Source organism: Homo sapiens, chromosome 4 (genome assembly GCF_000001405.40).
Source record: "Homo sapiens chromosome 4, GRCh38.p14 Primary Assembly".
In the NCBI taxonomy this organism is placed as follows: domain Eukaryota; kingdom Metazoa; phylum Chordata; class Mammalia; order Primates; family Hominidae; genus Homo; species Homo sapiens.
In genome coordinates, this window is record NC_000004.12 from 39229178 (window position 1) to 39251213 (window position 22036).

Sequence of the window (22036 nt, forward strand, 5' to 3'; positions counted from 1 at the left end):
ACACCACTTTTTAAAATCCAGTCATCTGTTGATGGACACTTAAGTTGATTCCATGACTTTGCTATTGTGAATAGTGCTGCAGTAAACATATGAGTGCAGGTGTCTTTTTGATAAAATGTCAAATCCTATTCAATAGATGGAGATAACAGCACTTACCTTGTTCATTTCACAGGGATATTGTGAGGCTCAGATAAGATAGTCAGCTGTTTTTATTATGAGTACTTTATTACAAGAAAAGCCCTTAAGAACAAAACGGTTTCTAAGCTTCCAGAGAGCCTAGTTATTGGGAAATCCTAATAAAATAAACCTAATTATTTCAACAATATCTTGACTTCATCATAGTGAGGTTTGATTTTGCTTTGCTTATAATTTCCTTTTACTGTTTTTTTCTCTTATCTCCTAGAGCCACCGTGAATTCCTTTGACGTTCTAATTCTTCCGAGCCTCTCTTAAATGCTGCTGTTTATTGGGGTCTCATGAGTTTCCTTCTCTTCTTACTCTAATTATTCTTCCTGAGTGAATCTCCTCTGCTTAACATGGCTCAACATACCACCCATATGAAGCTGACTCTAAAATCTGTGTCTTTATCTTAAACCTGTACTTACAACTACCTTCCAGTCATGTGTCCTTGGAAGTCCATGAGCTCTTCAAACTTGCCCTTTCTAAAACTGAACTCATCAATTTCCACAGGCCCCTATTTTCCCTCACTGTAATCACACATGCACATGCCTTAACACACATATACACCAGCTCCTTTCCTCCTCCCGTGTTCCCTCATCTTTACCCAGGCCCTCACCTGGAATAATGTGTAATGTAACTAACCACTTCCTAACTGCTCTGTCTGCCAATAGCCTTGTAACGATCTCATCTGTTCTCCACACACTTTTGAAGATGTGATTTGATCCTCTTATTTCCCTGCTCAGGATCCTTCAGTGACTTTCTATTGCCTTTACAAACAAATCCATTCCTGGGGGACCTCTATGACCTACTAGGCACTTCATGATTTAACACCAGCTCAACTGTCTCCACTCAAGTCCCTCTCTGTTCCACTGGCTGCTGAAATTGCATATATTTCATGATTCTTCCTGGAATGCCCTTTCCCTGCTCTGAATGTAGTAACCCCTCTTTCTTTACCCATCAGCGATAAGTGGAGCCATCTCCTGCTCCAGGAAGCCTTCCCCGACTTCCCCACCACCACAGGCAGTCCTGCTTGGGGTCTTTCTGATGTGTTGCCTCAGAGCCAGGATGCAGTATACACAGTGGTGAAGAGCATGACACCACTTACCTCTGTGTGCCTTGGGCTAGTCTTTTGACGTCTCTAAGCCTCATTTTCCTAATCTATAAAGGAGACATAATAATAATACTTAGTGGGTAGGGTTATTAGGGTAAGAGAATTTATGCAAAAGACTTAGCACAAAGAGTTACCTATTGTAAGTACTCAGTTACCTCTGTCAAACTATGCTATAGTCATTTGTTTCCTTATCTGTCTCTTCCACCTTCCCCAATTGTGACTGCCTTAAGGACAGCAACTGTGGTTGATTTTTGTATCATGTTTCCAAGCATGTAACGAGTTCAGTAAATGTGTGTTGGATGAAAAAATGGATAGGTGAATAGATAAATGGATGAATGAATAGATAGATGGATGTAATATATTCACTCATGTAGAGGTTCCACAAAAAGTTTAATTGGCATTTATGTTCATGTTTTAAACCAGAGGTCGGAAAACCTTTTGTGTTAAGGTCCAAATGGCAAATATTTCAAGCTTTACGGGCCATAGGGTCTCTATCGCAGCTACTCAGTCTGGCTGTTGTAGCAGGAAAGTGGCCACAGACAATCCATTAAAGAGTGGGCTGGGCCGGGGACGGTGGCTCACACCTGTAATCCCAGCACTCTGGGAGGCCGAGGCGGGCGGATCATGAGGTCAGCAGATCAAGACCATCCTGGCTAACACGATGAAACCCTGTCTCTACTAAAAATACAAAAAATTAGCCGGGTGTCATGGCATGCGCCTGTAGTCCCAGCTATTCGGGAGGCTGAAGCAGGAGAATAACTTGAACCCAGGAGGCCGAGGTTGCAGTTAGGTGAGATCACGCCATTGCACTCCACCCACCCTGGGCAACAGAGTGAGACTCCGTCTTCAAAAAAAAAAAAAAAAAAAAAAGAGTGGGCTGATCAGTGACTTTGTTCCACTCAAGCTGTATTTTCAAAACAGCACCTGACTAGATTTGGCCCATAAGCCATAGTTTGCTGACCCCTGTTTTAAACTTCTAAATTTATAGGAATAGAATACTAATTTTATTAGACTTATATGAGAACAAAAATAATATTCATCTATGTGTGAAATAAAAAGAAATAAATGAATAGGATTAGCTTAGTTAATTGAGTAGGCTTATTACAGAGTAGATTCAGATTAATAAAAGAAATTTAGGGAAAAACATTTATCTGTAAAAAAAGGAAGAAAGCTTAAGTGTTTTTTCATTACTTGTAAATGACAATTACAGGTTAAGAAATGTTTTAGACAGTTTATCTGGGGCACGCTATTAGATGACATGTAGTCTGAAAATTGCCTAACATGTGGCAAGTGGAACATTCTGATTAAGCTTATGTTCTTACATCCCAGGTTTTCTGATGCTTGGGAAATGTGCAGGATTCTGAATGATGAGGCTGCCTGGAATGAGTTGGCCAGAGCTTGTCTACATCACATGGAAGTGGAGTTTGCAATCCGTGTTTATCGGAGAATTGGAAATGTTGGCATAGTGATGTCCTTGGAACAAATAAAGGTAAACAGCATGTTATAGAATTATCAAGTTAAAATTTAAATGCTATTTTAAGTTAAATGCAGTCTAAATTTTTTGCATTTAATCTTACCTCTTAAACAAGTGAATCGATAGAACGTTACCACTTCCTACTGATCAAAGTCCTTAAAAAAAAAAAAAAGTTAAACTCTTGCATTTTTTTTCTCATCAGAATTGCTTTTATTTGTAGGGAATAGAGGACTACAATCTTTTGGCAGGACACCTTGCCATGTTTACCAACGATTATAACCTGGCTCAGGACTTGTACCTTGCATCCAGCTGTCCTATTGCTGCCCTGGAGGTATGGCAGCAAGTAAGAATGGAAATTGTGTAAGAGGTATCCAGTGGGGAAATGGGGGAAAAAAAAATGGGGCCGGGTGCAGCCGCTCACGCCTCTAATTCCAGCACTTTGGGAGGCCAAGGTGGATGGATCGCCTGAGGTCAGAAGTCCTAGACCAGCCTGACCAATATGATGAAACCTCATCTCAGCTAAAAATACAAAAATTAGCCGGACGTGGTGGCATGTGCCTGTAATCCCAGCTACTCAGGAGGCTGAGACAGGAGAACTGCTTGAACCTGGGAGGTGGAGGTTGCAGTGAGCCTGTAATCCCAGCTACTGTAATCTCCTGCCCCAGCAGGAGAATTGCTTGAACCTAGGAGGCAGAGATTGCAGTGAGCCAAGATTGTACCACTGCACTCCAGCCTGGGTGACAGAGCGAGACTCCGTCTCAAAAAAAAAAAAAAGGAAAGAACATAAGAATATCAAAGGAGGATCACCCCTTCTATATAATTAAAATTTCTCAGCACAGACACTATATGCCTTCCCCCTCCTAAAATTCAAACATGTCAGTTTAAGAACCCCTGAGTACTCATTAATTATAATGTTAATCATTAAAATTATAATTCAAAAATGTTTATTCTGCATTTTGTGGAGGTATAAAATGCATGGTATTATAACATTACTAATTGAAATCTAAATGTGTCCAAAGAGAACAGATTGTGTAAATTACAAAAACATATACAAGGAAAAATATCACCATATATTGAGTGCTCATGTGGGCCAGGCATTTTTCTAAGCACTTATCATGTATTAATTCATTTAACCCTCCCAACAATCCTATGAGATAGGATTGGTTTTTTCTCTATTTTCCAGATGGGAAAACCGAGGCACATTTATCCTTATTGTGTGAAATTCTGTTGTGTATTAAAAGGTGAGCTAAGGACTAGTGTACCATCACTGGTTTCCCAGAGGTGAGCATTGCAGGAGAGGGCCTAGAGCAGGATGAAGGGCCTGGTTAGTTCAAGGGCAGGGAAGAAGGGAAACCTGGCAATATAGACTAGCAATGAGGGGCATAGACTTCACAGTCAGACATGTCTGGGTTCAAATTCCAGCTCTGTGTAAGCTTGGACATGTTATTTAACCTTTCTGAACCCTAGATCCTATTTCTTTAAAGTAGGAAGAATAATATCTAACCCACGGGATATTTGTAAGGATTTAAAAATGAGAATGAGGTCTTTTAGCACAGTGCCTGATCAATAGTAAAGACACATAATTAGCTATTGTAATCATTAATATTATTTCACCTAAAACTGGCATTTCTACAACTATGTAAAAGAGCTTGTTTTGGGAGCGTTTGTTATTAATTTTACAACTTTCCTTTTACAAATCATTCTATAGCAAATTTTCATTTTTAAATTTTAAGTGAACTAAATTAACTTTGTTATAAGAAAAATTTAGGTAATTTTACAGTATTATTTAAGATAATTGGGACACCCTGAGAAGTTTTCAAAACTTGGATTAGTACTCACTGAAATAGGAATATGGCTGCGATGACTGAGGGGAAATATATCATCTCAACTCTTTTGCATTTAACTGTGGGCACTTGTCATGTGCTGCTAGACTTGGAAAGGATTTGAGGTAATGGATTGATAATGGAGAGGGGTGATTACTCTTTAACCTCACTTTGAAAGCTGATGAGTTAACCAGGTGAAGAGTTCAGAGGCAGAGCCCTACTGCCCAGCTCTGTCATGTACCAGCTGTGTAACCTTATATACAGAGGAGCCTCTGTTTGCCTCAGTTTCTGGATCTCTAAAATGGATACAAGAAAGTATTAATAAATTGCAAAAGGGTAGTTGTGAAAGATAAATAAGCTAATCCCCTAGAACAGTATCTGGCAGATAATAACACTTGAAAAATGTTAGCTATTATTGTTTAGGAAGTATGAATAAAGTGAGGAATGAACTTTAAAAGATTAATGATGAGTTTATATTTAGAATTATGTACCAGGCAGAGAAAAAAGACCACAGGAACATATATTTACATTTTAGTTACATTTGCTATTACTCTTGTGATAGAGCTTCAGATTTTCTAAGAAAAACACACCAATTCCTATAGCAAAGTGTTCTCAACTTTTTAGAATCACTACCTTCTAAAAATAAAAATTAACTTTAATTTAATTGATTACATTAATTTAATTTGATTACTCCTTGCTGAGAAAAATTAAATACTAAGGACTAAGATTTTGTTAGATACGACTGAGTTTTGGAGGGCCACAAACCATTATAATAGCTAAGATTTTTTTGCCCCTCCAAGAATCAATTTTTGCCTCCTTCAGGGCTCTATCAAGACCCTATTGAGAATACATACTATAGTAATATATTATCATTGTAAAGATCAAGTTTCATTATTTAAACAAAAAGGTTTTGTAATTAGTTTTATTAAAACTAGCTCTTTGTGGTAACTTTGCAAAATAATTTTGCTCATTTGAAATTAAGGTCTTTCTCTTCTTAACAGATGAGAAGGGATTTACAGCATTGGGACAGTGCTCTACAACTGGCAAAGCATTTGGCCCCAGACCAGATACCTTTTATATCAAAAGAATATGCTATTCAGCTTGAATTCGCGTAAGTCTTTGTTTTTATACATTTCAGTCAGTAGCTAATGACTGCAAATATCTTCAGTTCGAAACTTCCATTAATGATAAGGCCCTCCATTGATTTAATAATTTTTTTAGAGAAAAAATACTGTATTAATTATATATCTGAAAAATGTTTTTTCTAACAATGTCTTATCCATGCATTATCCACTTTAAGTTTTCAGCATCAAAATCTAAGTCTGGATCTAAGCTGTTTCTGCATTTAGAATCTAAATGTTATTATTATTTTTTTTAATAGAGACAGGATCTCTCTCTGTTACCCAGGCTGGAGTGCTGTGGTATGATCATAGCTCACTGTAGCCTTGAACTCCTGTGCTCACGTGATCCTCCCTTCTCAGCTTCCTGAGTAGCTGGGACTATAGGCATGCACCACAAGGCCTGGCTAATTTTTAAATTTTTTTTAATTTTTAGAGAGACAGGGTCTCACCATCTTGACCAGGCTGGTCTCCTGGGCTCAAGTGATCCTCCCAGCTCAGCCTCCCAAAGTGCTAGGATTATAAGCGTGAGCCACTACGCCCAGCCTAATTATTATTTTTAATCACATGTGGCCATCAACAACTATGCATAGCATCACACTGCTTTTCCTAACTTATGTTCATGGTTCTGACCTCCTTTAACACTTTGAGGATTTGCTCTGTAATTTCAAACCATAGTGAAAAACACCAAGGTTTCATCTACATTTTCTATTTGCTTAGAATTATAGTTTTTTCTAACAAAAGTAGACAAATGGGACTTAATTAAACTAAAAAGCTTCTGCACAGCAAAAGAAACAATCAACAGAGCAAACACAACCAACAGAATGGCAAAAAATATTTGCAAACTATGCATCCAGCAACAAGCAAATATCCAGAATCTGCAAGGAACTCAAACAACTCAACAAGAAAAAAAAAATAACCTATTAAAAACTGGGCAAAGGACATAAATAGACATTTTTCAAAAGAAGACATATAAGCAGCCAACAAAAATATGAAAAAATGCTCAATATCATTAATCATCAGAAAAATGCAAATTAAAACCACAATGAAATACCGTCTTATACCAGTCAGAATAGCTATTATTAAAAAGTCTAAAAATAATAGATGTTGGTAACGATGTAGAGAAAAGGGAATGCTTATATACTGTTGATAGGAATGTAAATTAGTAGAACCTTTATGGAAAACAGTATGGAGATTTCTCAAAGAACTAAAACTAGAACTATCATTCGACCCAGTAATACCACTACTGAGTGTATACCCAAAGGGAAAGAAATCATTATATCAAAAAGATACCTGCATTCGTATGTTTATTGCAACACTATTCATAATAGCAAAGGTAAAGAATCAACCTAAGTGTCCCATCAGTGGAGCACTGGAGAAAGAAAATGTGGTATACACACACACACACACACAGACACACACACCATAGAATACTACTCAGCCATAAAACAAGAATAAATTGTGTCTTTTGCAGCAACATGGGTGGAACTGGAGGCCAAAAAGAAGTAACTCAGAAAGTCAAATACTGCATGTTCTCACTCATAAGTGGGAGCTCAGCCATGGGTACACAAGGACATACAGAGAGGAATAACAGACACTGGAGACTCCAAAAGGTGGGAGGGTGGATGAGGGTTGAAAAATTACCTGGGTACACTTAAAGTCCAGACTTCACCACTACCCAATATATGCATGCAAAGACCTCCACTTGCACCTCACAAATACATATATTTTTTTAACTAAATGATTTTTTTATTACAGTTTTTCTTTCTTGAGTTGCACATGTATGAAAATTAGACAATTGCTGTTGCAATTCAAGCCAAAAACTCTTCCCAGGAGGATATTGAGTGCTTGAGTAATAGTCCTTTATGATGCATGAATAGGAGTCACAAATCTCTCTTGCCTTTGGAAATTCCATAATCTATTCTGAGAAATTTAGAATTTTCTAGTGATCTTAATTGCTAGACCCTCTTAATTGTCAATAGTCTTAATTGACAGACTATACATTTTTATTGCAGTGTTGCATCGAAGTGTAATTTTAGAGGCATTTAGGATCCAGTTTTAAGTTAACATTCAGCCATGGTTGGTGCTACCAATGCAAATATCTGCAGAGAAAATAAATGAATAATTTATTTGCAAATATAATTTTGTACATGTATGTGTAATGACAACCAATTTCTTTTGACATTTATTATGATATATTCCAACATTCAAAAATATTAAAATATGGAAAAAGATTAGTCTTTAAACAAAGAAAGTATAGTTCTAACATTTGATTTTTTCTATAAAACATTTTTACATAATTCTACTTTACTGTCATAGAGACTTTGGATTCATTGAGAATACTGACACATAAATTCGTGTTGTAGGAGTTATTCTGTCAAAAAGTACTCTTTGGACCAGGTACGGTGACTCATGCCTGTAATCTTAGCACTTTGAGAGGCCCAAGGGAGGAAGACTGCTTGAGCTCAGGAGTTTGAGACCAGCCTTGGCAACATAATGAGAACTTGTCTCTACAAAGAAAAAAAAAAGAAAAGCTAGCCAGGCCTGGGGTCACATGACTGTAGTCCCAGCTGCTAGAGAGGTTGAGGTGGGAGGATCACTTGAGCCCAGAAGGTTGAGGCTGCTGTGAGCTGTGATCACGCCACTACCCACCAGCCTAGGCAGTGGAGCAAGACCCTGTCTCAAAAAAAGAAGTACTCTTTCATTTCTAACCATGATATCTTATTTCAAATTTTCTATTCTACAGATTAAAAACATTATAGAGATTTTATTTCTTCTTAACCAATCTTGATTTCAGTTTGCCACATTTCTGTTCCTTATAAATGCCTATACCAAAAAGTGACGTTGGAATCTTAGTACATAACACAAGAGACAGAGCCCCATTGCCCTGGCCCTCCACCTGCATCCTGAGGATGACTGAGTCTTAGAATATAAAACTTCTGTGCTAAGAAGGAAAGATGATCCACCAAGTCCTGTCAGAGTACAGACACCCCAGTAAGCCCTCGGACCATCCAGAACTCTTCGATTTTCACTTCCTTCAGGAAAATTGAAGTTTTGTAACAAATTCTCAAACTTGTCTCATTATGGTCAGATGAATTGAGTTCAATTGAAAGCCTCTGTGTTGTTGTTTCTAACCCTTTCTGCTCATCACTTGACCATGAAGCCACCGATTCTCAAAGCTTTCACTGATATTTGTATGCAGATCTTCGGACCCTAATGTACACACACCCTAGCCCCCAATAGTCTGAAGGAATTTCCTTGTGATAATAGGAACTAACCTAGGTATAGTTCATTGTCATCAAATACCTGAGTAGCCACCAGCTATGACTTTGACACCTAAGACCCTAGGCCTGTGTTCAATTTCAACAGTCTTGTTTCATTATGCATCCAAGACAGTGATTAGGTCAAAGCAGGGCCAGTCTATCAGGTCTGGGTGAGATTTAACTTACTAAAGTCTGGGATTAAACTAATGAGTTAGTTCCATATGAGAGCTTCAAAATAAAATAATAAATAATCCAGTGAGCTAAAAACAACATAAAAATAAAGTGAGAGTTCCAAAGTATTAATTTAGCTTGCCCAAGGAAAATCTCAGGCTCCTGTGGAAGGAACTGTCAACTCAATTGATTATATCAGCTGAGCTAGGGATATCTCCTGAGAATGTCTCCTCCCTATTCTCAGGAAAAATCCCTAGCTTGGTTGATGTCATCAGGTCCATACTGGTAATTTCCACTTAGGAACATTGCTGACTATGGAGTCCTAGGCTGACCAAAAGAAATTTCTCAACTGCAGAACAGCTTCTTTTCCAAAAATGTCCTTGTACATTAATAGATGAGGAAAGTGAATGAGGCTTAGAGAGGTTTAGTAACTTGCCTAAGCTGATAAAGTAGTGATGAGGTAGATCTCAAATCATGCCATTTCAGAGCTGATTAATTTATCCTGGAGAAGATGGTTTCTTAGAGGAAGATAGATCCCAAAAAGTATCTCAGGCAAATCACTGATTCATTCTATCCCAAACAATGAAAATAAATTGAAATAATAAAAGTCTTCTGTATATGGAGATCCATGTTAGCATCAGTCATGGGAAGAGAATATTATTATTATTATTATTATTTGAGATGGAGTCTCACTCTGTCACCCAGGCTGGAGTACAGTGGCGCAATTTCAGCTCACTGCAAACTCTGCCTCCCGGGTTCAAGCAATTCTCCTGCCCTTAGCCTCCCGAGTAGCTGGGATTACAGGCGCATGCCACCACACCCGGCTAATTTTTGTATTTTTAGTAGAGAGAGGGTTTCACCATGTTGGTCAGGCTGGTCTTGAACTCCTGACCTTATGATCCGTGTGCCTCGGCCTCCCAAAGTGCTGGGATTACAGGTGTGAGCCACCGTGCCTGGCCCGGGAATATTATTTATATCATGTATATTAATACTTTTTCTCAGTGTAAGAACCAGAGCCCTCAGTACTGTAATCACCAATGTATTCTTCCACTTCTACCCTTTAATAAATTGACAGCCCTCCAGATTCCCTCAATATATATTCTTGTAAATATTGGGCCTTTGGTTTAAAAAAAAAAAATGTGTTTTATGGTCACATGATTGTCATTTAGTGCCCCAAAGGAAATAATTAACCAAAAGTAGCCAATAAAATTAATGTAGCTTCTTATCAGAAAAAATAGCTAATACATGCTAGGCTTAATACTTAGGTGATGGGTTGATAGGTACAGCAAACCACCATGGCACATGTTTACCTATGTAACAAAGCTGCACATCCTGCACGTGTACCCCCGAATTTAAAAAAAAATTAATGTAGCTCTTCAAAATGCCTAGCATACCACACAGTAAGTACCTTATAGTATAGCATAACCCGGCTTAATAATTACTTTTAAAATAGCAACATAATGACAGACTGCACTTTGAAAGAATGCATCTGTAGTGTTCCACATCTTTTGTGAGCTTAAGCAACTCAGTGACAAAGATTATCTTTTAAATCTTGTATTTGTAAATTGGTCTACTACTCCCCAGTGGTGGCTCATGCCTGTAATCCCAGCACTTTGGGAGGCCGAGGTGGTGGATCATTTGAGTCCAAGAGTTCAAGACCAGCCTTGGCAACATAGTGAGACCTTGTCTCTACAAAACATTCTTTTAAAAATTTGCAAGGCATGGTGGCGCATGCCTATAGTCTCAACTACTCAGGAGGCTGAGGCTGGAAGATCACTTGAGCCAGTGAGGTCGTGGCTACAGTGAGTTGTAATTGTGCCACTGCACTCCGGCCTGGGCAACAGAGTGAGACCCTGTCTCTAAAAAAAAAAAAAAAAAAAAAAAAAGGAAAAAGTACATGTAAATAAAATTCTAAAATATATATTAAAATTATTAAAATTCACTCTTATTTTTTTTTCAGGGGTGATTATGTAAATGCTTTGGCTCATTATGAGAAAGGAATAACAGGTGATAATAAGGTAACCTTGGATAAAGATAAGATATGCCTAATTATGTCTGGGTTTGTTTTCAGTTTCATTTTTAAAAATCATGGTCTTATTTGTATTGTATTTAATATCTAGCAGGTGAGTGTTTTCTTTGGTTTACTAACAACCTTGCAAGGAAATAGTTAAATCCTTTTAAAACACTTCAAGCTCTTAAAATCTGATGATGACAATATTTTTATCAGTCTGATAAGTTTTACATCCTTAATATAAGTCTAATTAAAGTTGGAAATAAGATTTTTATCCTTTCTTACTTATAGGCTATGATTTTCATAAGGTTTTTCCTTTTGCTCTTTTTAAAAGTTTCAGTAGGCTGGACGCGGTGGCTCACACCTGTAATCCTAGCACTTTGGGAGGCCAAGGTGGGCGGATCACAAGGTCAGGAGTTCAAGACCAGCCTGGCCAATATGGTGAAACCCCATCTCTACTAAAAAAAAAAATACAAAAATTAGCCAGGCGTGGTGGTGCACGCCTGTAGTCCCAGCTACTCAGGAGGCTGAGGCAGAAGAATAGCTTGAATCTGGAAGGATGAGGTTGCAGTGAGCCAAGATCATGCCACTGCACTCCAGCCTGGACGACAGAGCGAGACTCCATCTCAAAAAAAAAAAAAAAAAGTTTCAGTAACCATTTTGAAAGTGAATTTCCAATCCGTAAAACTTCATTCTGCCGTTTCTTTCTCATACTGTATCTTTTAAGATGACCCTGGAGAGCATGACCCACTGTGCCACCTCTTTTTCCCATCCCAGAATTCTAGCTTAAAAAGCTAAGATTTATAATAATAATTGCTGTTTTTAAGTTAGGTAATGTCTTGTGAAGCTTGAAAATCTTTTGACTTTCTGTTTTATATATAGCATTTTTATTACAAAAGTAATGCAACCTCATGATAGCTAATTTGAAAAATCATCAAAATATGTTAACATGAAAAGTGAGTCCAGGCCAGCCTGGCCAATGTGGCAAAACCCCATCTCTACTAGAAATACAAAAATTAGCCAGCCGTGATGACGGGTGCCTATAATCCCAGCTACTTGGGAGGCTGAGGTGGGGAGAATCGCTTGAACCCAGAAGGCGGAGGTTGCAGTGAGCTGAGATTGCGCCATTGCACCCCAGCCTGGGCAACAGAGTGAGACTATATCTCAAAAAAAAAAAAAAAAAGTGGGTCCGGGGCCGGGCACAGTGGCTCACGCTGGTAACCCCAGCACTTTGGGAGGCTGAGGCCGGTGGATCACTTTAGGTCAGGAGACCAGTCTGGCCAACATGGTTAAACCCTGTCTCTAATAAAAATACAAAATTAGCCAGGTGTGGTGGCACACGCCTGTAATCCCAGCTACTCGGGTAGCTGAGGCAGGAGAATCACTTGAATTGGGAAGCGGAGGTTGTAGTGAGCTGAGATCACACCGTTGCACTCCAGCCTGGGCGACAAGAGGGAAACTCTGTCTCAAAAAAAAAAAAAAGAAAGAAAGAAAGAAAAGTGAGTCCAATATTCTCTCCTCCATCCACACCCCTTAATGGTAACTACTGTTAATGATTTTATATATTTTCTTCCAGAAGCTCTTCTAAGCATACTTGTAATATGGATTTTTTTTTTTTTTTACCAAAAATGAAATCATTCATTTCCATTCACTCAGCAAAGATCATTGAGTATTCACTCAGTGCAAAGCAGCATTTTGCTTTCTTCATGGCCTTTCCAAGTCAATACATATGAATCTGTCTTAATCTTTTTATTTTTGAGACAGGGTCTCATTCTGTTGCCCACACTGGGGTGCAGTGGAAGAATCAGCTCACTGCAGCCTCAAACTCCTGGGCTCAAGTGATCCTCCTGCTCCAGCCTCCTTATTAGCTGGGACTACTGGTACATGCTACCACACCCAGATAATTTTTTATTTTTATAATAAAATTAAAAATTTTTATTTTTATGTTTATTTTTGTCTCACTTTCTTTCCCAGGCTGGAATGTAGTGGCATAATCGTAGTTTACTGAAGCTTCAAACTCCTGACCTCAAGCCATCCTCCCGCCTTAGCCTCCCTAAGCACTGCGATTACAGGCATGAGCCACCATACCCAGCCAGTCTTAATCTTTTAAGAGCTTCTAATATTCCATTATTTGGATGTACTATAATTTTTTGTATCCACTACCTTACTGAAGTATAGTTGTGGGGTTTTTTCTATCATCAAAAATACTGCAGGCTAGACACAATGGCTCATGCTAGTGATAACCAGCACTTTGGGAGGCCAAGGTGGGAGGAATGCTTGACACCAGGAGTTCAAGACCAGCTGGACAACAAAGCAAGACCCCCATCTCTACAAATTTATTTGTTTATTTTTCTTTTGGAGATAGTCTTTCACTGTGTCGCCCAGGCTGGAGTGCAGTGGTGCGATCCTGGCTCACTGCAACCTTTACCTCTTGGGTTCAAGTGATTCTCGTACCTCTCAGCCTCCTGAATAGCTGGGATTACAGGCATGGGCCACCACGATTGGCTAATTTTTGTATTTGGTAGAGACAGGGTTTTGCCATGTTAGCCAGGCTGGTCTTGAACTCCTGGCCTCAAGTGATCCGCCCACCTCAGCCTCCCAAAGTGCTGGGATAATAGGCTTGAGCCACCGCGCCCGGCCCATCTCTACAAATTTAAAAATAAAAAATTAGCTGGGTATGGTAGCATTGCATCACTGCACTCCAGCCTAGGCAATAGAATGAGACCCAGTCTCTTTAAAAAAACAGCAACTTTTTAAAATTAAAAAGTAAAAATTAAAAAATTAAATTCATTTTTTAAAATCACTGCAATGAATATTCTACCTAGTACATGTATCTTTAGCTACCTATGATAGTATTTCTGAAGAATATTTTCTTATAAGTCACAAAGTGTACTTTTCATTTTTGACATGGCTAAATTGCTGTTCAAAAGAAATTGTAGTAATTCACACACACTCCATGTATGATAGTGTCCCCTTCATTCTCAGCAAAACTGAATGTTATCAGTTGTTTTATCTCTACCAATTTTATAAGCAAAAAAATATATTTTATTTTATGTATATTTGATTATTGGTGAAGTTGAGCGTGTTTTTATTTATTTATTGGCCAATTGTATTTTGTTTCCACTTGTATTTTTTAATGAATTGTCTGGTCATGTCCTTTGCTCATTTATCTCTTAGGTTTTTGACATTTTCTTTGTCTGGCTACATCAATTTTAGTTCATTCTTTATCTACACCGTCAAATACAGTAAGCACTAGCCACATGTGTCTACTTAAATTATTTAAAGTTAGATAAAATTTAAAATTCAATTCCTCTGTTGCACCAGCCATATTTCAAATGCCCAGTAGCTACCATATCGGACAGGGCAGATACAGATCATTTCTGTCATCACAGAAAGTTTTACTAGACATGCTGATTTAGATAAAATATAATCTGACATTACATCTTACTAGTAGAGATTAGTTATTTGATAAGTTTCTTTAGCTGTCTTTGGTACCTTTAATGAATTTAACAATTACTAACGAAATGAAGTTTTTATGTTTCATCATGCCTCATAGAGCAATCTTCAATTTGATAAATGGTTTTCTTCTTAATTTTATTCATAGCATTTATGCTATATAGCCAGTATATTACTTTTTATATTAAATTTTATACCAAAAAGACATATGAGGGATAGTAAAAATTTGGTCTTAAGCATAAAGTTGATCTAGGCTTTCGCAGAACAAAATATAATTTTGTAATAGCTGGGTTTTTTTAAAAAAAAAAGTCTCAAGTGTTATTTTAAAATCATGAGGCTTCCCTGAAAAGATAAAAGTAAACCATAACCTTTGGACTCATTTTAGAGTTAAATTCATTGTTCTGTCTTAAACACATCGTGTTAAGCTAGAATCTGATTTGTTAGTGTTTGCCTTGTGATTGCAGGAACATGATGAAGCTTGTCTGGCTGGAGTGGCCCAGATGTCCATAAGAATGGGAGACATACGTCGAGGGGTTAACCAAGCCCTCAAGCATCCCAGCAGGGTCCTTAAAAGAGACTGTGGAGCCATATTGGAGAATATGAAGGTCCTCTTTTCTCTGCATCAATATACATGTGGTCTTTTATACATAATAACTTAGTATTTTAATAATCCTGTCTTATTTTAGCAATTTTCAGAAGCGGCCCAACTGTATGAAAAAGGTCTCTACTACGATAAAGCAGCATCTGTTTACATCCGCTCTAAGAATTGGTAAGAGCTGCCTGCGGTTTGTTTCTGAACAGGATTGGAAATGAATGTGCCTCTGGGGTCTCCCCACTTGCCTCCTTGCCATGCTTTCTCTCTGTCCATTCTGTTCCCCTATCTAGACCTACCCTTCATCTCTTTTGTTCTCCTTAGATAAGTTCATATTAATAGTTCTTTTTCCAAAGAATAGCACATTCTCCTGGTTTGGTGTGGAGAAATCCTTAATCAGATAAATTAGTAGGAAAAAACAAAAACCCTGTTGTCCTAAAAGAGTTAATGGACTAACCATTTTCCTACCTTTAGGGGAGGGAGTGAAGTGGGTGTTAGGAGTAAAAGCAATTAAATCAGCTTTTACCTATAGGAGCCAAGATTTTCTTTCTTTTTTTTTTTTCTTTTTTTTTTTTTTTGAGACAGAAGCTCTCTCTGTTGCTCAGGCTGAAGTGCAGCTGGCACGATCTCAGCTCACTGCAACCTCCACCTCCTGGGTTCTAGCAATTCTCCTGCCTCAGCCTCCTGAGTAGCTGGGATTACAGGCATGCTGCCACAATGCCTGGCTAATTTTTGTATTTTTTTTTTTTCTAGTAGAGGTGGGGTTTCACCATGTTGGCCAGGCTGGTCTTGAACTCCTGACCTCAGGTGATCTGCCCGCCTCAGCCTTCCAAAGTTCTGGGATTACAGGCCACTGCACCCCGCCAGGAGCCAAGATTTTTGAAAGATAGTAATAACTGGTTTTTGAATCCTAAAACCTAACATTTGGTTATAGCAGGCTACTTTTGGAGTGAACACAGTACTCATACTGTTCTCCTGGACCTACCTTTCCAGGGCAAAAGTTGGTGATCTTCTGCCCCACGTTTCTTCTCCTAAGATCCATTTGCAGTATGCCAAAGCCAAGGAAGCAGATGGAAGGTTTGTACACTTTCTCAAATTTATACCAATTTAAAGTAATGTAAGCTTTACAAATTAACCATTGATATTTGCAACCCTGTAAGAAAGGCAAACCAGAGAAAGACAGAAAACACCTTTAATTACCCCTTGTTGGCCTGAAGTGCCAGACTATTAAAATCCTCCTGTACCTCATATACTTCAAGTGTTTCCTTTACATACTCAAATATAGACTATTATCTCTTTTTATTTGAGGGTTTTATAATGGAAGTTGAAATTTTGATATGGCATGAAAATAAAGTGATTGTTATTTTATTAAGAAGGATTATTATTTTATAAATCACAGATGCAGGGGAAAAGAAAAGTGAAGAAACATGAATTCCACACATACAGCTGCTTGCTTAAGCCACATATGGCTGCTTGTTTAAGCTTGCTTAAGCTGCTTAACTATCCATTGCTATATTTTAACCGTATTTAAAAATGTATAACTCTATTGTAATACAGTTAAAATATAGCAATGGATAGTTAATATCCTAAACATACAAAGATCTCCCACTACTTAATACAAGAAACTCAAAGACACTAATAGGAAAATGGGCTAAAGACAAGAACACAAGCGCCAGAGGAGGAAACACAATTATGAAATTGTATTTGATGTAAACATGAAAAGGTTCTACCTCACTAATAGTAATTAAATTAAGGCAACTTGTCATATTTGGAAATATTTATTTTAAACTAATAACCATGTTGTCAAAATGTGCTTATATTACACAACTGATAGAAATGTATCTTTTGGGCTGGGCGTGGTGGCTCACACCTGCAATCCCTGCACTTTGGGAGGCCAAGGCAAGAGGATCACTTGAGGCCAGGAGTTTGAGGACAGCCTGGGCAACATAGAGAGAGCCTCTCTCTATAACAAGTTTAAAAATAAAAAATTTGGGGGGTGGAGCTAAGATGGCCGAATAGGAACAGCTCCAGTCTATAGCGCCCAGCATGAGCGACGCAGAAGACAGGTGATTTCTGCATTTCCAACTGAGGTACCGGGTTCATCTCACTGGGGAGTGCTGGACAGTGGGTGCAGGACAGTGGGTGCAGCGCACCGTGTGTAAGCCGAAGCAGTGCAAGGCATCGCCTCACCCGGGAAGCACAAGGGGTCAGAGAATTCCCTTTCCTAGTCAAAGAAAGGGGTGACAGACGGCACCCGTAAAATCGGGTCACTCCCACCCTAATACTGTGCTTTTCCAATGGGCTTATCAAACGGCACACCAGGAGATTATATCCTGCACCTGACTCAGAGGGTCCTACACCCACGGAGCCTCACTCATTGCTAGCACAGCAGTCTGAGATCAAACTGCAAGGCAGCAGAAAGGCTGGTGGACGGGCGCCCGCCATTGCTGAGGCTTGAGTAGGTAAACAAAGCGGCCAGGAAGCTCCAACTGGGTGGAGCCCACCACAGCTCAAGGAGGCCTGCCTGCCTCTGTAGGCTCCACCTCTGAGGGCAGGGCACAGACAAACAAAAGACAGCAATAACCTCTGCAGACTTAAATGTCCCTGTCTGACAGCTTTGAAGAGAGGAGTGGTTCTCCCAGCACGCAGCTTGAGATCTGAGAATGGGCAGACTGCCTCCTCAAGTGGGTCCCTGACCCCTGAGTAGCCTAACTGGGAGGCACCCCCCAGTAGGGGCGGACTGACACCTCACACGGGGCTGGGTACTCCTCTGAGACAAAACTTCCAGAGGAACAATCAGGCAGCAGCATTTGCGGTTCACCAATATCCACTGTTCTGCAGCCACCACTGCTGATACCCAGGCAAACAGGGTCTGGAGTGGACCTTCAGTAAACTCCAACAGACCTGCAGCTGAGGGTCCTGACTGTTAGAAGGAAAACTAACAAACAGAAAGGACATCCACACCAAAAACCCATCTGTAAGTCACCATCATCAAAGACCAAAGGTGGATAAAACCACAAAGATGGGGAAAAAACAGAGCAGAAAAACCGGAAACTCTAAAAATCAGAGCGCCTCTCCTCCTCCAAAGGAACGCAGCTCCTCACCAGCAACTGAACAAAGCTGGACAGAGAATGACTTTGACGAGTTGAGAGAGGAAGGCTTCAGAAGATCAAACTACTCCAAGCTAAAGGAGGAAGTTCGAACCAATGGCAAAGAAGTTAAAAACTTTGAAAAAAAATTAAATGAATGGATAACTAGAATAACCAATGCAGAGAAGTCCTTAAAGGACCCGATGGAGTGAAAACCATGGCACAAGAATTACGCGACGAATCCACAAGCCTCAGTAACCGATGTGATCAACTGGAAGAAAGGGTATCAGCGATGGAAGACGAAATGAATGAAATGAAGTGTGAAGAGAAGTTTAGAGAAAAAAGAATAAAAAGAAACGAACAAAGCCTCCAAGAAATATGGGACTATGTGAAAAGACCAAATCTACGTCTAATTGGTATACCTGAAAGTGACGGGGAGAATGGAACCAAGTTGGAAAACACTCTGCAGGATATTATCCAGGAGAACTTCCCCAATCTAGCAAGGCAGGCCAACATTCAAATTCAGGAAATACAGAGAATGCCACAAAGATACTCCTCGAGAAGAGCAACTCCAAGACACATAATTGTCAGATTCACCAGTTGAAATGAAGGAAAAAATGTTAAGTGCAGCCAGAGAGAAAGGTTGGGTTACCCACAAAGGGAAGCCCTTCAGACTAACAGCTGATCTCTTGGCAGGAACTCTACAAGCCAGAAGAGAGTGGGGGCCAATATTCAACATTCTTAAAGAAAAGAATTTTCAACCCAGAATTTCATATCCAGCCAAACTAAGCTTCATAAGTGAAGGAGAAATAAAATACTTTACAGACAAGCAAATGCTGAGAGATGTTGTCACCACCAGGCCTTCCCTACAAGAGCTCCTGAAGGAAGCACTAAACATGGAAAGGAAGAACCGGTACCAGCCACTGCAAAAACATGCCAAATTGTAAAGACCATCAAGGCTAGGAAGAAACTGCATCAACTAATGGGCAAAATAACCAGCTAACATCATAATGACAGGATCAAATTCACACATAACAATACTAATCTTAAATATAAATGGGCTAAATGTTCCAATTAAAAGGCACAGACTGGCAAATTGGATAAAGAGTCAAGACCCATCAGTGTGCTATATTCAGGAGACCCATCTCACGTGCAGAGACACACATAGGCTCAAAATAAAGGGATGGAGGAAGATCTACCAAGAAAATGGAAAACAAAAAAAAGGCAGGGGTTGCAATCCTAGTCTCGGATAAAACAGACTTCAAACCAACAAAGATCAAAAGAGACAAAGAAGGCCATTACATAATGGTAAAGGGATCAATTCAACAAGAAGAACTAACTATCCTAAATATATATGCAGCCAATACAGGAGCACCCAGATTCATAAAGCAAGTCCTTACTGACCTACAAAGAGACTTAGACTCCCACACAATAATAATGGGAGACTTTAACACCCCACTGTCAACATTAGACAGATCAACGAGACAGAAAGTTAACAAGGATATCCAGGAATTGAACTCAGCTCTGCACCAAGCAGACCTAATAGACATCTACAGAACTCTCCACCCCAAATCAACAGAATATACGTTCTTTTCAGCAACTATTCCAAAATTGACCACATAGTTGGAAGTAAAGCACTCCTCAGCAAATGTAAAAGAACAGAAATTATAACAAACTGTCTCTCAGACCACAGTGCAATCAAACTAGAACTCAGGATTAAGAAACTCACTCAAAACCGCTCAACTACATGGAAACTGAACAACCTGCTCCTGAATGACTACTGGGTACATAAGGAAATGAAGGCAGAAATAAAGATGTTCTTTGAAACCAACGAGAACAAAGACACAACATACCAGAATCTCTGGGACACATTCAAAGCAGTGTGTAGAGGGAAATTTATAGCACTAAATGCCCACAAGAGAAAGCAGGAAAGATCTAAAACTGACACCCTAACATCACAATTAAAAGAACTAGAGAAGCAAGAGCAAACACATTCAAAAGCTAGCAGAAGGCAAGAAATAACTAAGATCAGAGCAGAACTGAAGGAGATAGAGACACAAAAAACCCTTCAAAAAATCAATGAATCCAGGAGCTCGTTTTTTGAAAAGATCAACAAAATTGATAGACCACTAGCAAGGCTAATAAAGAACAAAAGAGAGAAGAATCAAATAGACGCAATAAAAAATGACAAAGGGGATATCACCACCGATCCCACAGACATACAAACTGCCATCAGAGAATACTATAAACACCTTTACACAAATAAACTAGAAAATCTAGAAGAAATGGATAAATTCCTCGACACATACACTCCCCCAAGACTAAATCAGGAAGAAGTTGAATCTCTGAATAGACCAATAACAGGCTCTGAAATTGAGGCAATAATTAATAGCTTACCAACCAAAAAAAGTCCAGGACCAGATGGATTCACAGCCAAATTCTACCAGAGGTACAAGGAGGAGCTGGTACCATTCCTTCTGAAACTATTCCAATCAATAGAAAAAGAGAGAATCCTCCCTAACTCATTTTATGAGGCCAGCATCATCCTGATACCAAAGCCTGGCAGAGACACAACGAAAAAAGAGAATTTTAGACCAATATCCTTGATGAACATCGATGCAAAAATCCTCAATAAAATACTGGCAAACCGAATCCAGCAACACATCAAAAAGCTTATCCCCCATGATCAAGTGGGCTTCAAGTGGGCTTCATCCCTGGGATGCAAGGCTGGTTCAACATACGAAAATCAATAAATGTAATCCAGCATATAAACAGAACCAAAGACAAAAACCACATGACTATCTCAACAGATGCAGAAAAGGCCTTTGACAAAATTCAACAACGCTTCATGCTAAAAGCTCTCAATAATTTAGGTATTGATGAGACGTATCTCAAAATAATAAGAGCTATCTATGACCAACCCACAGCCAATATCATACTGAACGGACAAAAACTGGAAGCATTCCCTTTGAAAACCGTCAAAAGACAGGGATGCCCTCTCTCACCACTCCTATTCAACATAGTGTTGGAAGTTCTGGCCAGGGCAATTAGGCAGGAGAAGGAAATAAAGGGCATTCAATTAGGAAAAGAGGAAGTCAAATTGTCCCTGTTTGCAGATCACATGATTGTATATCTAGAAAACCCCATCGTCTCAGCCCGAAATCTCCTTAAGCTGATAAGCAACTTGAGCAAAGTCTCAGGATACAAAATCAATGTGCCAAAATCACAAGCATTCTTATACACCAATAACAGACAAACAGAGAGCCAAATCATGAGTGAACTCCCATTCACAGTTGCTTCAAAGAGAATAAAATACCTAGGAATGCAACTTACAAGGGATGTGAAGGACCTCTTCAAGGAGAACTACAAACCACTGCTCAGTGAAATAAAAGAGGATACAAAGAAATGAAAGAACATTCCATGCTCATGGGTAGGAAGAATCAATATCGTGAAAAATGGCCATACTGCCGAAGGTAATTTATAGATTCAATGCCATCCCCATCAAGCTACCAATGACTTTCTTCACAGACTTGGAAAAAACTACTTTAAAGTTCATATGGAACCAAAAAAGAGCTTGCATCGCCAAGTCAATCCTAAGCCAAAAGAACAAAGCTGGAGGCATCACACTACCTGACTTCAAACTATACTACAAGGCTACAGTAACCAAAACAGCGTGGTACTGGTACCAAAACAGAGATATAGATCAATGGAACAGAACAGAGCCCTCAGAAATAATGCTGCATATCTAC

The 22036-nt window shown here is 39.1% G+C and overlaps 1 protein-coding gene across 10 annotated transcripts in view; it reads left to right on the top strand.

The window, feature by feature from the left end:
* The window catches only part of WDR19 (WD repeat domain 19), a 103282-nt gene that overhangs the window by 46649 nt on the left and 34597 nt on the right, over positions 1-22036 (top strand). For 5 of the 10 annotated variants that reach the window (XM_011513724.2, XM_011513725.3, XM_047416031.1 and 2 more), the window contains 7 exons: positions 2620-2779; positions 2985-3107; positions 5589-5698; positions 11100-11157; positions 15071-15211; positions 15293-15375; positions 16192-16275. In XM_011513724.2, the coding sequence (XP_011512026.1) occupies positions 2620-2779; positions 2985-3107; positions 5589-5698; positions 11100-11157; positions 15071-15211; positions 15293-15375; positions 16192-16275 (759 nt within the window). Of the gene's footprint in view, positions 1-2619; positions 2780-2984; positions 3132-5588; positions 5699-11099; positions 11158-15070; positions 15212-15292; positions 15376-16191; positions 16276-22036 lie in introns of those variants that run through there. The other 5 variants (NM_025132.4, NM_001317924.2, XM_047416030.1 and 2 more) reach the window with 2 other exon arrangements.